General features: G+C 38.2%; 1 protein-coding gene and 1 pseudogene across 1 annotated transcript in view, besides 3 other annotated features; both read left to right on the top strand.

Moving 5' to 3' along the window:
• Window positions 1-14,087, top strand: part of SVEP1 (sushi, von Willebrand factor type A, EGF and pentraxin domain containing 1) — a 214,494-nt gene extending 200,407 nt beyond the window's left edge. Inside the window, exons 45-48 of the mRNA NM_153366.4 lie at window positions 1,969-2,064; window positions 3,872-3,967; window positions 9,319-9,412; window positions 12,775-14,087. Of these exons, the coding sequence (NP_699197.3) occupies window positions 1,969-2,064; window positions 3,872-3,967; window positions 9,319-9,412; window positions 12,775-12,796 (308 nt within the window). The 3' untranslated portion in view covers window positions 12,797-14,087. The remainder of the gene's footprint in view (window positions 1-1,968; window positions 2,065-3,871; window positions 3,968-9,318; window positions 9,413-12,774) is intronic.
• Window positions 1,748-1,917: an enhancer, noted in NCBI's record as "experimental_105021 CRE fragment used in MPRA reporter constructs". NCBI's record gives its function as "activates a minimal promoter by MPRAs in K562 erythroleukemia cells, with activity observed for both the introgressed and non-introgressed 9:113139783 variant alleles {active_cell/tissue: K562}" and the evidence as "EXISTENCE:reporter gene assay evidence [ECO:0000049][PMID:34662402]".
• Window positions 6,987-7,156: an enhancer, noted in NCBI's record as "experimental_104987 CRE fragment used in MPRA reporter constructs". NCBI's record gives its function as "activates a minimal promoter by MPRAs in K562 erythroleukemia cells, with activity observed for the introgressed 9:113134544 variant allele {active_cell/tissue: K562}" and the evidence as "EXISTENCE:reporter gene assay evidence [ECO:0000049][PMID:34662402]".
• Window positions 9,272-9,566: a silencer, noted in NCBI's record as "tiled region #12709; HepG2 Repressive non-DNase unmatched - State 24:Quies". NCBI's record gives its function as "represses a minimal TATA promoter and a strong SV40 promoter by Sharpr-MPRA in HepG2 cells {active_cell/tissue: HepG2}" and the evidence as "EXISTENCE:reporter gene assay evidence [ECO:0000049][PMID:27701403]".
• On the top strand, window positions 9,637-9,743 carry RNU6-1039P (RNA, U6 small nuclear 1039, pseudogene; annotated as a pseudogene).
• Window positions 14,088-15,248: the final 1,161 nt, after the last annotated feature.

Genomic DNA, 15,248 nt, shown 5'->3' with positions numbered 1-15,248 from the left:
TTGAATGGTTATTTCTTAGTGAAACTGCAGGGAAATGTGTATAGAAATCTGATTTGTCCAGCAATTAATATGCATACTACTTTATTTTTCCTTGGCTTTAAAATTTCTTTTAGCAGCTGTGTAATTTTCTTTTAATGTTATGGTTTGAGTTTTAAAAGCACATAGAACTCTTAGGTTCTGTGCTTGAAATGTTGCAAAATAGAAAGAGGTAATGAGGCACCCTAGTATTATATCCTTCTAAAACTTACACTTTTATAATAAAATATGATTTTTATACATCATAATAATTATTTCATTCATTCTACAAATATTTGCTAGAAGTCGAGAAGTACGCTAGTACACACAGATAAAACCAAGGAACTAAATAATTGAGTTGTTGGATGAGTTGACCACAAACTGTTCAGATTTGGACTTTTTTTTTTTTTAATACTTTAAGTTTTAGGGTACATGCACACAACATGCGGGTTTGTTACATATGTCTACATGTGCCATGTTGGTGTGCTGCACCCATTAACTCGTCATTTAACATTAGGTATATCTCCTAATGCTATCCCTCCGCCCTCCCCCCACCCCACAACAGTCCCCAGAGTGTGATGTTCCCCTTCCTGTGTCCATGTGTTCTCATCGTTCAATTCCCACCTGCCATTCAGGACTTAGGCATGGGCAAGGACTTCATGTCTAAAACACCAAAAGCAATGGCAACAAAAGACAAAATTGACAAATGGGATCTAATTAAACTAAAGAGCTTCTGCACAGCAAAAGAAACTACCATCAGAGTGAACAGGCAACCTACAGCATGGGGGAAATTTTTTGCAATGTACTCATCTGACAAAGGGCTAATATCCAGAATCTACAATGAACTCAAACAAATTTACAAGAAAAACAGATTTGGACTTTAATAACTGGTGAAGCAGGGAAGATTGAGGAAGTCAATGGATGAATGGCATGAGCCTCAAAAGAAACAGGGGCTATTGCAAGAGAAAGAGGACTCATTGTCTGGCAGCAACAATGAGAAGTGAGATCACCAATACATGGGATGTAAGAGAATGTAGAGCCTTTTGAGGGGGGACATCTTAAAGGAATATCCCAGACTTCACTTAAAGTCTAAAGTCAGAATGAGTGTTGTGTGTGTGATATTGAACAACATAAATGTCTGTTGACAGATAAATGGATAAAAAAATGTATGTTGATAGATGATGATGATGATGATTAAGAAGATAGATTAGATAGACATGCAGATAAAAATAGGCAGATACAATGAAATATTATTCAGCTTTGCAAAAGAAGAAAATCCTGCCATTTACAACAACATGGACTAACCTGGAGGACATCATGCTACATGAAATAAGCCAGACACAGAATGACATATACTGCCTGACTTTGCTGATAGGTGGAATCCAAAACAGTCAAACTCATAGAAGCAGAGAGTAGATGGTGGTTCCCAGGAGCTGGGAGGGGGTGAGGATAGGGAGATGTTGCTCAAGGTATCAAAGTTTCAGTTATGCAAGATGAATAAGTTCTGGAGTTCTAATGTCCAGCAATGTGACTGTAGTTAACAATACTGTATTGTATACTGAAAATTTGCTGAAAGGATAGATCTTGTGTTCTCACCACAAAAAAGAAAGAAAGAAAACAATAACTATGTGAGGGGATGAATGTGCTAATTAGCTCCATTGTGGTGATTATTTCACAATCTATACATAAATCAAAACATCAGGTTGTAAAAAATATATACAATTTTTATTTGTTGCACCTCAATAAAGCTACAGGGAAAACTGAAATAATAGCAGCCAATAAAATGCTGTACTTCTCCACATACTGAAATTCCCTCCTGAGATTCGATTTTTGTCTCTCTTCCTGAAAGCTTGACTCAAGGAAATAGTATGAGATATAAAGGGGCAATTCTATTTTCTGACTCCTTCCCTTCATAATTCCCTACATTTGTGACCCATCCTGCTTCTTTTCCAGCTGTCTGTCGATTTCCATGTCAGAATGGGGGCATCTGCCAACGCCCAAATGCTTGTTCCTGTCCAGAGGGCTGGATGGGGCGCCTCTGTGAAGAACGTGAGTTGCTCTTCAGATCTTACTTTGAGTCCTGACAAATTGCCTGGATGCTCCCACCTGAGGGGAGTTACCAGGAAATGGTTGTACTGTTGGGAAGAATTCATTTGCTGTAAGTCCTTGTCCACACCAAACAGAGCACATATGTGTCAACAGGTTGCAGAAGATCTAGAATATTAATGACTTTGAAAATACTGTTATTAAGATCCATCTAAAGTCATTTTCACATGTTCCCTGGCACAAATTTGCAAAAGTCTTCTTGAGAAGGAGCTTGTTGTAAAGTCTCCAAGCTATCCTCTTCCCTTAACTCAAGGTCTACTATGTGCTATGTCAGTCATTGCTGCAGTTGGTATAAACGTGCACCACTGCAAAACATGTACTTTGCAGGTAATATTTGCAGCTCACCATTTCCTCTTTGTTGTTAAGAATAGTTTCTACTCATTAAGAAAATAAGAAAAGCTGGCACTCCTATATCCATACTTGGTAAATTAATATAGAATTTTGATCCTTATAGAAACAATTTGAAATTCCAGGGAGGTATGGATAGTGATGTTAAATTTTTAAATATCTCAACTACACTTTATTTCAATATCTTAAAATATATATAAGGATAAAATGGTTTCATATTTCAACAGGAGCAGTGTATGTAAACCATTAAGAGTGATTCATGTGATGGCCATTGGTCTATACCAGTTTTTCCTACAGGGCAGGAATTTTATAAGAGACTAAAATGTTTTAAGTGTGACTTTTTCAACTAATCTATAAAGGAAAATGTATGATGGAAATAAATTTAGGCTGCTAACAACTCACCAAAACAAGTATTCTCAAATGATTAAAAAAGAAGAGAAATCACACTTTTCTCTTCCAGCTCACCCCAATCATTCCATTTCACCTAGAGCTCCCAGACTTAGCCTGCCCTTATGTCAAGAGTCCAAAGACTTAGTAAGCATTGACTTTGGGGTACCCCACGACAGGTCTGGCTTGGCTGCCTTAGCTGGTCTGGCTCACTGAGCATGTGCCTGCCCTCCTTCATTATACCAGTGCTTCCCAAGCTTTGCTATGCATACAGATCATCTGGGAGATCAGCAGATCTGAGTTGGTACCTGATATCTGCATTGCTAACCAACTCCTAGGTGATGCAAAGACTATTGGGGTTAGGGAACTTGATTTTGGGGAGCAAAGCAACAAACTCACATCTTTTAAACAGACTATGCCTCTTTAAAGATTTCAGTGATTTCTAGGAGGAGGAATGATAGTCATGAACAGGGTTCGGGAGGCATCATTCAGTCACCGTCAGTCCTCAGCTTCTCGGAAATAAAGGGTGTGTTGTCCCATTGCTACCAAAATGTTGCAAACTCCAACCCTATGTTACAGCCTATCTGATTCCCATTCTCACATTTAGTTCAAGACAGGAAGAGCCTCAAGGCAGCCAAATCCTCTTAGAACATTTTATGTAATTTGTAATGGAAATTTGAAACTATAATAAATGGAGACCGTTCTGCTTATTTTGTGAAGAGTTAAAGCAAAGCACTTTGCAGACACTGATTACGGAGTGTCTTCACTGAAAGTGGATTTGGCCTTAAAGTCATTACATGTGGCTAAGAATCCAGGCTTACTTTCCTGATTGTATTTTCCCAATGATACTCATTAATAAGCAGAACACATGCAGGAAACTTATTTAGTGAGTCATATAAGGTTTCACTCCTGCAAAATGTTTTCTGAACCCTTGAACCTATCTAAGATGTGTACTTTGATCAACGCCATTTCAATCCCCCCTGCCTCCTTTTTTTTTTTTTTTTTTTTTTTTTAGCAATCTGCATTCTTCCCTGTCTGAACGGAGGTCGCTGTGTGGCCCCTTACCAGTGTGACTGCCCGCCTGGCTGGACGGGGTCTCGCTGTCATACAGGTAGGCCTCTTTCATGGTTTGTTTTCTTGGTGGCTCAGGCCCATGAAACTCCAGAGGACATTGAAGAGTGTGACTTAGACTCAGAAGTGGTGGCAAAATGAAAAAGTACTGATGTTTCTCAAAAATTCCTCAAGATGATCCCTTGATTCGTGTCTCAACACTGAATTTTATGGTTGCCTAAACACGTTTCCAGGTCATGTGCCGAAGAATAGCATCTAAGTCTACTCAATTATCTGTCTTCTTTATGTCATCTGCTTCATTTTGCAGAGCATAGAGAAGACATTACACAGAGGTTCAGAATAATACTTATTTTAATCTCTAAGAAGCTAAATTACTAAATTCATGCTTACTCTTTAGAAAGAACAAGGTTATACATAAATACAATTTAAGTTAAAATGAAAAAAAAAACACTTTATCCAGTCTACCATTGATGAGCATTTAGGTTGATTCCGTGTCTTTGCTATTGTGCATAGTGCTGAAATGAACATACACGAGCATGTGTCTTTATGGTAGAATGATTTCTATTATCTTGGGTATATACCCAGTAATGGGATTGCTTGGGTTGAATGGTAGTTCTGTTTTTAGGTTTTTGAGGAATCGCCGTACTGCTTTCCTCAATGGTTGAACTAATTTACACTCTTACCAACAGTGTATAAGTGTTCCCTTTTCTCCACAACCTCCCCAGCATGTTTTTGTTTTGTTTTGTTTTGTTTTTTGAGAACAGAGTTTCACTCTTGTCACCCAGGCTGGACTGCAGTGGCGCAATCTTGACTCACTGAAACCTCTGCCTCCCAGGTTCAAGCAATTCTCCTGCCTCAGCCTCTGGAGTAGCTGGGATTACAGTCACCTGCTGCCATACCCTGCTAATTTTTCTATTTTTAGTAGAGACAGAGTTTCACCATGTTGGCCAGGCTGATCTTGAACTCCTGACCTCAAGTGATCCACCCACCTTGGCCTCCCAAAGTTTTGAGATTACAAGCATGAGCCACTGCATCCAGCCTATTTTTTTACTTTTTAGTAATAGCCCTGCAGCCATAAAAAAGAACGAGATCATGTTCTTTGTGGAATATGGATGGAGCTGGAGGCCATCATCCTTATAAAAGGAACAAAAAACCAAATACCACATGTTCTCACTTATAAGTGGGAGCTAAATGATGGGAACACGTAAACACGTAGGAACAATAGACACTGGAGCCTACTTGAGGGTAGAGGGTGGGAGGAAGGAGAGGATCAGAACAAAATAACTATTGGGAACTAGGCTTAGTACCTGAGTGATGAAATAATCTGTACAACAAACTCCCATGACACAAGTGTACCTATATAACAAACCTGCACATGTACCCTTGAACCTAAAATAAAAGTTAAAAAAAAGTTTAAAGGAAAAGAAATGGAAAAATATTACAAAACTCATCAAAGAGATGGTTTCTTATCATGGACAACAGTAACAAATGGTAGTTGATTGATTAGTAAAAAACATCCTGTTAGCACCTCTTGCAGACCTCAAATACAGCATTTGGCCCACTATACTTTGACATCTGTTCAATTGCTTGATTATCTATCCCTTCCCCCACTAGATTATACGCCACTTGAGGGCAAGGATTTTTTTTTTATCATCTTTATATCCCCAGTGCTTAGCATAGTGCCGAAATATAGTAGATATTTTTAGTAAATGTCAAATAACTCAATTTAAAATGATAAACTACCTTCTAGTGTCCTAAAATTTTAAGCCACCACTTAAAACATAGGGCTTGCTATATTTATGAAGTATTAATTCTGACATACCACTATTCCTCCTATAAACAATGTTTATACCACCTCCTCAGTGGAGTAAAACATAAATGGCATGTAAAGTATAGACAGGGCTTCCTAACACCAGAGCTTGTCATGAACCCTAAGGCTGGAAAGACCATATAATTTAGCTTCCAAACCAGGACATTTTTGAGAGTAAAAGAGGCACTATTAATAAGTAAACCAGAGAAATGAGACTGAAAAGTACTGTTACAGACAAAAGCAGATGTGCAGTCGTCACCCTACCTAAAGCCAAAATTGAGCCATTCATGAATGTAGAGAAGGAAATATGTCCTGGAGGCTGAATTTGAAGGCCTTATTTGAGACTCTGAAAGCAGTCTATATAGTGTTTGTTTATAACAAATCAACTTTGCTATTTACCCACGTTTCTCCTGCTCATCTATAAACAAGCTCTGCTTTTTTCCAGGTACCTTACTGGTGCAGGTAATAAATGAATTACTCTTGACTCACCCTCCCTTTCATCTGAGGTTACAGCACCATCATTATTTTTGTTCCTTCCTGCTCAGCATCTCTCACATTCTACTCCACACCACTGTCACCAGTCAGTAAAAGACTCTGGATCATGGCCTAGTTGACCTTCTTGTCTCCATGTCCCTCCAGACTGAACATCATCAATGTACTACTTTGGCATGTCTTTGCCATGTTTAAGAGGCTAAAATGGTTCTCTATTTTAGTCTCCACATCCACCCTGAATTCTTCTGACTTCCAAGGTGCTGCATAAGCCAGCTTCAGCACAGCTGAAGCACAACTCACTTGTTATCCTACCATCACACACTGTGCCCTGCAGTGACGGTTTTCTCACTACCCTTGCAAGCAGCCTCTTCTCCTCCCCAATCTCCTTACATTTGCAATGATCTTCCTCTTTCCTCCACCTATTCTAGCCTCACTCAACCCCCAAGTCCTGCCTAAGTTTCCTCTGATCTCTAAACTTGTTCAATATCACAATAATCTACTTTCTAACATTCCATTTCTATAAACGTTACACAACTAGTTAGAATCATGCAGTTTAAAGCTAATAAATAGATCTGATTTATTTGCATTTCTTTTAACACCTTAGCTCTCTAATAAGAATATGCTCCTAATGACACTGAACTCTATAGCCTTCGTTCTGCCAAATCTTACAGCAGCTACCTCAGCATAGTTACACCCCTAAGTACTAAGCATACCACAACCATATAAAACAGGGGCTCCTGCCCTCCAGAATTTCAATCTAGGAAAGGGGAAGGGATGTGGAATGGCCTATAAATAGATAACTAGGACGTGTTAAGATAGAGGCTAATCAAAATCTATAAGAGGGGCTATGACAACAGTGAAATGGGTAAACTAACCAAATGTTGAAGTTCAGAAAAAGCTACTGAAGCATAGAATCTGAGGAGAAACAAAAGGAGTCCCCAGAAGAAAATCATTGCAGCTAAAGGCATGGACCACAAAATATACAGGTGTGTTCAGCAAAGGATAACCAAAGCCATAGAGGAAATGCAGGGGAGTGGCTGGAATGAAGCTCTAAAGATGGGCAGCATCCGATCAGGAAACACATCACATGCGAAGTGCAAGATGCTAAATTATGTGTTGAGAGCAACAGAAGCCACTGAAGGATCTTAAGCAGGAAAATCATGTGATCGGATTTTCTTTTAGAAAACTGATTTTGGCAGCAGTATGAAAAGTGGAAGAAAGCAAGACTTACAATAGAGAGATTCATTGCGGGATTGTAAAAGCAGAATTGGCAAGAATTAGTGAAGTCTGGAGAAACAACCACAAAAGAGCAGATTTGAGAGACAGTTAAAGAGTAAGAATCAACGCTACTTGGTTACAGATCTATTGTGAGGAGCCAAATACTACTTGGAAGACTAAAAGCTGTTTCCAGCTTGGGCACTGGAGTGGAAGGTGTTGCCATTTACTGAGATAGAGAAGCCAGGAGAAGCAAGCTTGAGAGTAGAGATAAGGAGTTAAGTATGGACACGCTGAGTCTGAGAGGACTGTGAAACATACAAGGGGAGTGATAAGCAGAAACATACAAGGGAAGTGATAAGCAGTTGGATGATAGTTTAGGTTCCCAGAAAATGCATTTAGATGAAGATAGAGATTTATAAGTCATCATTGAAAAATACTCACGGGAGGAAAAAATAACACTGCAGAAGACACGCAACATGAAAAGGTGGCCCTGAGTGGAATACTGGGACCACCGACGTGATAGGGAAGGAGGCTTAAGCTTTTAGACAAGGAAGTAAATGTAATGACTAGTTTGTTAGTGCAGTCAGGCACTGCTAATTCAGCATAGTCCTGAAAAGGAGTAACGTGTTCTTATATCAGCAAGCAGAAACTATGGGGAGTTGGTTTTCAATTATTGAGTTTTATTTTTGCTTGTTTTAATCCTGATTTGTTTCATAATTTTCTTTCCCATTAGATTGCTAATAAGTGTATTCTGCTGGCCAGCTCTTACTCTTAACTTACCAAGAGAGCTCCCTAAGGGGAAAGACGTATTTTACTTGTCTTCTCTTGTTCTCTCTGGACAAGGACCAGTGCTTATCAAGTGCCTACTACTTGCTTAGCAGACATTTTCTCCATATTTTATGAATGAATGACTGAAGAAAGGACATTTACTTATAATTCACCAAAAATATGTATATTATATACGTACAATGGTGAATTATAAGTTTTTCATCCAGGAAAGAGCCTGCCTTTCTGTGCTACAGATATTGGAATGGTTCTTACTTCCAGCTTTCTCCCAACAGACATTTTATTTCCTTCCTACAGGGAGTTCTCCTTTCTCTTTGATATGTTACACTTGCTAAAAATTCATCTAGACCAAATACCAGCATCTTCAGGTTTTTTAACAAATACATTTATGCAGATGAAGAGTTTGGTTATGAGATTATGGATTTGTGAGAAAAACACCTAGATAGTAAATCTTTCAGTGTCCTCTCAGGGTTTTATCTGTGACTAACCAGTTTCTGTAATTCTAGTTAAAGCTGACAAAAGCCGTGAAATATGTCTCCTCTCCAAACACAAAGGGATGTTGAATCATCTGTTATTTTAGACAATCCATGTGCCTAATTTATTATCATAAAAGTTGACGTCTGACTTAATCACCCAATCAATCATAGAGTTCAATGCTAACTCCCTCGAGGAATTTACAATCTTGAGCTTCAAGTCAGTGGAAAGAAATGTACAATCTAATTGAACACAAAAAAATTTATAGTTCAAAACATTCAAAGTGTCAGATTGGTTGCATAAATTAAAAGAGATTAGAGAAGAGGAAAATCAGTGGACTTGGAGTGATCAGCAAAGGCTTCAATAAGTAGGTAGAACTTAATCTGGGACTTAAATGTGAAAATTGACCAGCTTGGAAGGAAAAAGGGAGGTGGTACCACATAAGGATGTGAAGTCAAGCAGAACAGCAGAAATGGATAATGCTAACGGTATATGAAGACCAGCAGTGGCTGCTGCAGGAAGTAGAGTCAAATCTTATCCTACGTGCCTTTATGGATATCATCAGAATTGCTAAGTATTAATTAAATAAATGCATGGGTTTTTTATTCCAGCTGTTTGCCAGTCTCCCTGCTTAAATGGTGGAAAATGTGTAAGACCAAACCGATGTCACTGTCTTTCTTCTTGGACGGGACATAACTGTTCCAGGTAAGATAACCAAAAACTAATGTTCGCCTATAACATGAAGACTCTAAAATTCAAGTAAATTGTCCTAAGAGCCAGAAGTTATCTCTGTCTAGTTTGACTGTAAGTATTTTGTATGTGAAAACATCCATTTTGAGACAGGCTCTCTAAATTTGAATTAAAGCCAAAGCTAAGAAATATTAGTTCAGGATTGACAAAACAAGAATATCTCAAAAATAAGCAGTCTTGTGCTCACTTCAGCAGCACATATACTAAAACTGGAACTTCACAGAGAGGATTAGTATGACCCATGCTAGAGGATGACACACAAATTTGTGAAGCATTCCACAGTTTTTGCAATTAAAAAAAATCGGTTATATAAATAAATAAATAAACTTCTTGAACAGAAGATTGCATCCTACAGATGCAAGGATGTAAAATAAATAAACTCAATGTAATTTTATTGAAAATGACCCAATAGATGTTTAAGTTCTTCATTACAATAAAAATAGTATTGAATTGATAAGAAACGTTTATTTTAAAGTAATATATTTTGTATTTTAGTGTTTCTATGCGTAGCATTTCATTGACTACAAAAAGATTATGTAAAAATATGTTTTTTCATCGGTTTCTTATTTCTGACCAGATAAATATCACAGTTTAAAAATACTATCACAAGTCAAAGGGAAAATACTTAAAAGATCATTTATAACTTTTTAAACATCAGGAAAATATCAGCCATATTGTGACATACCACAGATAAAATATTTTCAATATTCAAACATTGTCCTCACCAATGTTGCAATGTTGAAATATTATCAGCTATATTTTAAGACTTTCAATATATATCACTGCACTTAGATTTGTATTATGTACACTTACCCCTACCATATAGGACTCATTAAAAACAAATGGGTATTTCCATATTCATTTTTTAAAGTGGGAAAAATTCAGTTAACTGAAAACTTTTATTTTTCATTTCCTGATTTGTTATTTTGATTGGAATGTCAAAGTCAACTTGCAAATATAAAAAAGCAATTAAAGTAAAACCTAACAACAACAAAAAAATCTGTCTAATGCCAGTGAATTTCCTCACATCATCTCAAGTATATGCCATCTCTGCAAAAGGAGAAAAAATAAACTGAACCCTAAACAGCAAATTTGAAATGGACAAATATATTTAGAAGCTGCCAAGATTATACCTTTACCTGAGAGCAGAGCTGAATTTAAGAAAATGAGAGCCAAAAGAGAGGAAATAAAAGAGAAAAAACAGTGACTCAAAAAAGAAGTATTTAGTACTTTTTTATAATATTAGATTTTATATTTCAACCTCTTCATTTTTCAGATAAAGAAAAGCCCAGAGAGAGTTTGCATGATTTAAAAACTGTCGATAGGAGTTCTTTCTTGATTGAGGAAAGGATAATTATTAGCATGTATTAAAATACTGTACATTAATCAGGAAAACAAGATCTAGATTTTTTACGCAAAAGTTTGATATAGGCATCCAAGAAAAATAATGGCAAATTAAGCTGAGAGGTGTAGCTCACCTTCAAGGGAAGGCTAACTAGCAACCCAGAGGACCAGACAGGTTCCTCCTCCTGTATATACTGTAATTCTTGCTAAAACTCTAACTAGTTTAAGCAAAGAAGAGAATTTATTATCACAATAGAGGGACCTTGTATGGAACCCAAGGACAGAGGAGTGGTTGAGCATCAGGAGGACCAGACTGGGGACTTGAAAGCCACGTGTACCTCTCCACCTCCCATGTCACCACCTCTTCCAGGGTCTCCTCCATCCTGTCTAGCTACAGAGTGGTTTTCTTCTGTTTAGTTCATGTGGAAGGGAAGGACAGAATTTCTCTTTTTTTTTTAAGACAGAGTCTCACTCAGATGCCCAGGCTGGCATGCAGTGTGCAATCTCGGCTTACTGCAACCTCCACCTCATGGGTTCAAGCGATTCTGTCTCAGCCTCCTGAGTAGCTGGGACTACAGGCATATGCCACCACACCCACCTAATTTTTGTATTTTTAGTAGAGATGAGGGTTCACTATGTTGGCCAGGCTAGTCTCGAACTCCTGACCTCAAGTGATCTGCCCGCCTTGGCCTCCCAAAATGCTGGGATTACAGGCATGAGCCACCGTGCCTGGCCAGGACAAAATTTCTTACAGAATTTTTTACATGTCACCATACAGTATCCGGAGACATAGTACACTGTCCCAGTTTAAAAATCCAGGACTCTGATTGGTCCAGATTGATTCAATGGCCAAGCATGAATCAATGTCCTAGGTTGGATTATGTTGTACCAACATAAAGGGTAATTTTGGCAAAAAACTGGGTAAAAGGGAGGAGAGTCTGGCAATTCCCAGAAGAAAAGAAAGTGGGAGGGGGAAGAGTGCTTGTCTGAGAAATAAACAATAAATGTTACCGTATAAGTTTTTCCTTCTCTCCTACGAGACTGAATGCCTTAAAGTTTGTATGCTGGGCTGAGTGTGATGGCTCACACCTGTAATCCCAGCAATTTGGGAAGCCAAGGCAGCAAGCGGATCACTTGGGCCCAGGAGTTCAACACCAGCCTGGGCAACATAGGAAGATCCCATCTCTACAAAAAATACCCAGAAAAATTAGCCAGGCATGGTGGCACACACCTGTAGTCTCAGCTACTGAGGAGGCTGAGGTGGGAGGATTGCTTGAACCCAGGAGGCAGAGGTTGCAGCGAGCCAAGATTGTGCCACTGCACTCTAGCCTCGGCAACAGAGTAAGATCTTGTTTTAAAATATATATATATGCCTAGTGCCTTGTACAGGCACAAAAGTCGCTGCTCAATAAAGGTTTGTTAACAGATGGAGCAATTTCCTGGCATGAATGTCAGTTGGTAGAGAAATGCCTTGTGGCATCCATTAAATCCCTCAATGTTTACCTTCTCTACTGATAAATAAGACTGACCTGGCCTTTTCTCCAGATAATTCAGTTGTTCAGAAGGAAATTGTGTTTCCTCTGACCTCTGTGCACATCTTCAGAAAACTGATCCTAAGCAAATATCATAATGAAAAACCATAGATTGTTAATGGACTAAGAGACCTTTAGGTTCATTAGCTCCAAACCCCTCATTTTACAGAAGAGAGAATTGTAAGATAGATAGAAAACTAGTGGCAGAATCAAGAGTAAAACTCAGGTCTGATGCTTCTCAGATCTTTCCATAAGTTAGCACTTGTTTCCCATGCCTCTTAGTTATCTCAAAGAATGACCCCCATCCGTATAAACATCACAGATAATGCCCAGGTATCTGGGACTTTCAATCCTGTTTTCATCAACTCCTAAAGAGATGTTAGCTCTTCAGTTCAATTTTTTCTTTTGAATCTATTTGGTTGCTTTTTTTTTTTTTTCCAGGAAAAGGAGGACTGGGTTTTAACCACTGCACGACCATCTGGCTCTCCCAAAAGCAGGATCATCTCTCCTCGGTAGTGCCTGGGCATCCTGGAACTTATGCAAAGAAAGTCCAACATGGTGCTGGGTCTTGTTTAGTAAACTTGTTACTTGGGGTTACTTTTTTTATTTTGTGATATATTTTGTTATTCCTTGTGACATACTTTCTTACATGTTTCCATTTTTAAATATGCCTGTATTTTCTATATAAAAATTATATTAAATAGATGCTGCTCTACCCTCACAAAATGTACATATTCTGCTGTCTATTGGGAAAGTTCCTGGTACACATTTTTATTCAGTTACTTAAAATGATTTTTCCATTAAAGTATATTTTGCTACTAAATAATATTTTGCTGGATAGTACCATTTTATGAGGTGGCCAAGGGATTCATAGAGAGGACTCATGATCTTTCATCTGTGCCACTGGCACCACATAGGAGACCCCTTACAATAAAGGAGACCCCTTTGTTCTGGTTCCATCTTCTATACAATATGTGTAATAATAAAAGCTTTTTCTTTCATTTAATCAATCAGAGAGTAACTGTTGGACCTGGTACTCTCCACCACATAATTATGTCCTGGTACTTAGGGTAGCCTGGCTAATTCTTTTCACAACATTTGAAAAGCCGTAGGCATTAACTTCATGGATGTGGAGAAACAGCATAATGACCTTGGTTCACAATGAAAGTGCTAGCCTTCTTTCTCGTGGCTGGAATAAGAAATGCAAGAACTGGAAGATTAACAAAGAGCTGATACCCGGACTGGTAATCCCACAACTCACTATTTTGGGAGGAAGGGGAAGACAGGGAAAGAGAAGGAAAAAGGCAAATGGGAAACATTCCCCAGAGCTGTGCTCCTGGTCTCACCTGCAAAAAAGAATTGCAGCCACCTAAGAGAAAGCTGAGCTGCCCCTCAGTCCTCACTGTCACCTACCTCTATCACAACAATTGTACCAAGATGAAGCCTTCCCCAGACTTCAGAAAATAAAGTCAAACCCTAGATTTTGTTTTAAAATAGGAAACTCAGAATCAACTTGCCTCCATCCTCTGGGAAAACTGCTCCCACACAGGCCTTGGAGTGTGTTGTAGCACTGTGGAGGAATGCAGAAAGGATGAAAGAGATCTTGATTCTCCTAGTGGTTCTCTTCACTACCGTAGGCATCCCTCAGCCATTGACTCCTCCTTCTTTCTCTTGACATTCACTTTCTTGGCCAGTCTTACATGCTTATGAGTCTACTTTCCAATAAATTTACTCATAGTCCATTAACTTCCAAACCTTGTTGATCTTTGTCATTTATAATCATAAAAACAAAAATACAGCCAAAAAAGCCGGGTGTGATGCCTCACACCTATAATCCTAGCACTTTGGAAGGCTGAGGTGGGCAGATAGCTTGAGCTCAGTAGTTCGAGACCAGCCTGAGCAACATGGAGAAACACCATCTCTAAAAACTAAATAATATAATAATAAAATAAATTCAAAAATTAGCCAGGAATGGTCATGCATGCCTGTAGTTCTAGCTACTTGGGGAGGCTGAGGCAGGAGGGTTGCTTAAACCTGGGAGGTCGAGGCTGCAGTGAGCCCAGATCGCACCACTTCACACAAAGTGAGACCCTATTTCAAAAAGAAAAGAAAACAAAATACAGCCCCAAATCTGAGTAATAAAAAAAAATAGTAGCAGAAAAAATTAAGCTAAGAAAGCAATTGGAAACAACACTCAGTTCTGAAAGTACCTACTAAATAAGTTTACCTTCAAAGTGGAATTTGTATTGGGTTACTTTGAATAGGCTGAAAGGTTTATATTTTCACAGTAAGTCAAAGTAGTCCTGGCGTATAGAGAATATAAGGAAGTAAAGCACCATACAAGTGAGGTGTGGAAATAATACATGTTTAGAAATGTGAGTCACAGAGTAATGATACTAAAAATAGTTGAATATTATTTTTTAATCTTCCATACTATGCAGAGAAGACCAGTGTAGGAAAACAAAAATTTTAAAAAGAAATTTTAAAATCTTTCATACTAGATATATCTTGTAGTGAATTTTTGAAGGCGGAGCCATTCACCATGCTATATAAACTATCCCACAAGCTGGAAAAGATGACAAACATTGAGTAATATTTGCCAAATATTTACCAAATGTCACTCTGATGCAAAAACCTAACAAAGAAGAAAATGAACTATAAATCAATCATATAATTTAGCTTTCAAACTAGTTTTTGAACAACTAATAATACATGCTACACACTGCAGTAGGTGTTTTAAAGAGATTAGGTCTTTGAATCTTCACAACAATTCTACTGAGATAGGTATTATTAACTTTATTTTATGGATGAGGAAAGTGAAACGCTGAGAAGTCAAATAACTGATCTAAAATAAATGGCAAAGCCAAATGAACCCCAAGCCTGATTTACTCTAAAACTCATGAACTTCCTACTCC

This window comes from Homo sapiens, chromosome 9, assembly GCF_000001405.40.
Source record: "Homo sapiens chromosome 9, GRCh38.p14 Primary Assembly".
Lineage (NCBI taxonomy): Eukaryota > Metazoa > Chordata > Mammalia > Primates > Hominidae > Homo > Homo sapiens.
The sequence above is the reverse complement of the archived record's forward strand: the minus strand, read 5'-3'. Positions and strand labels throughout refer to the sequence as shown.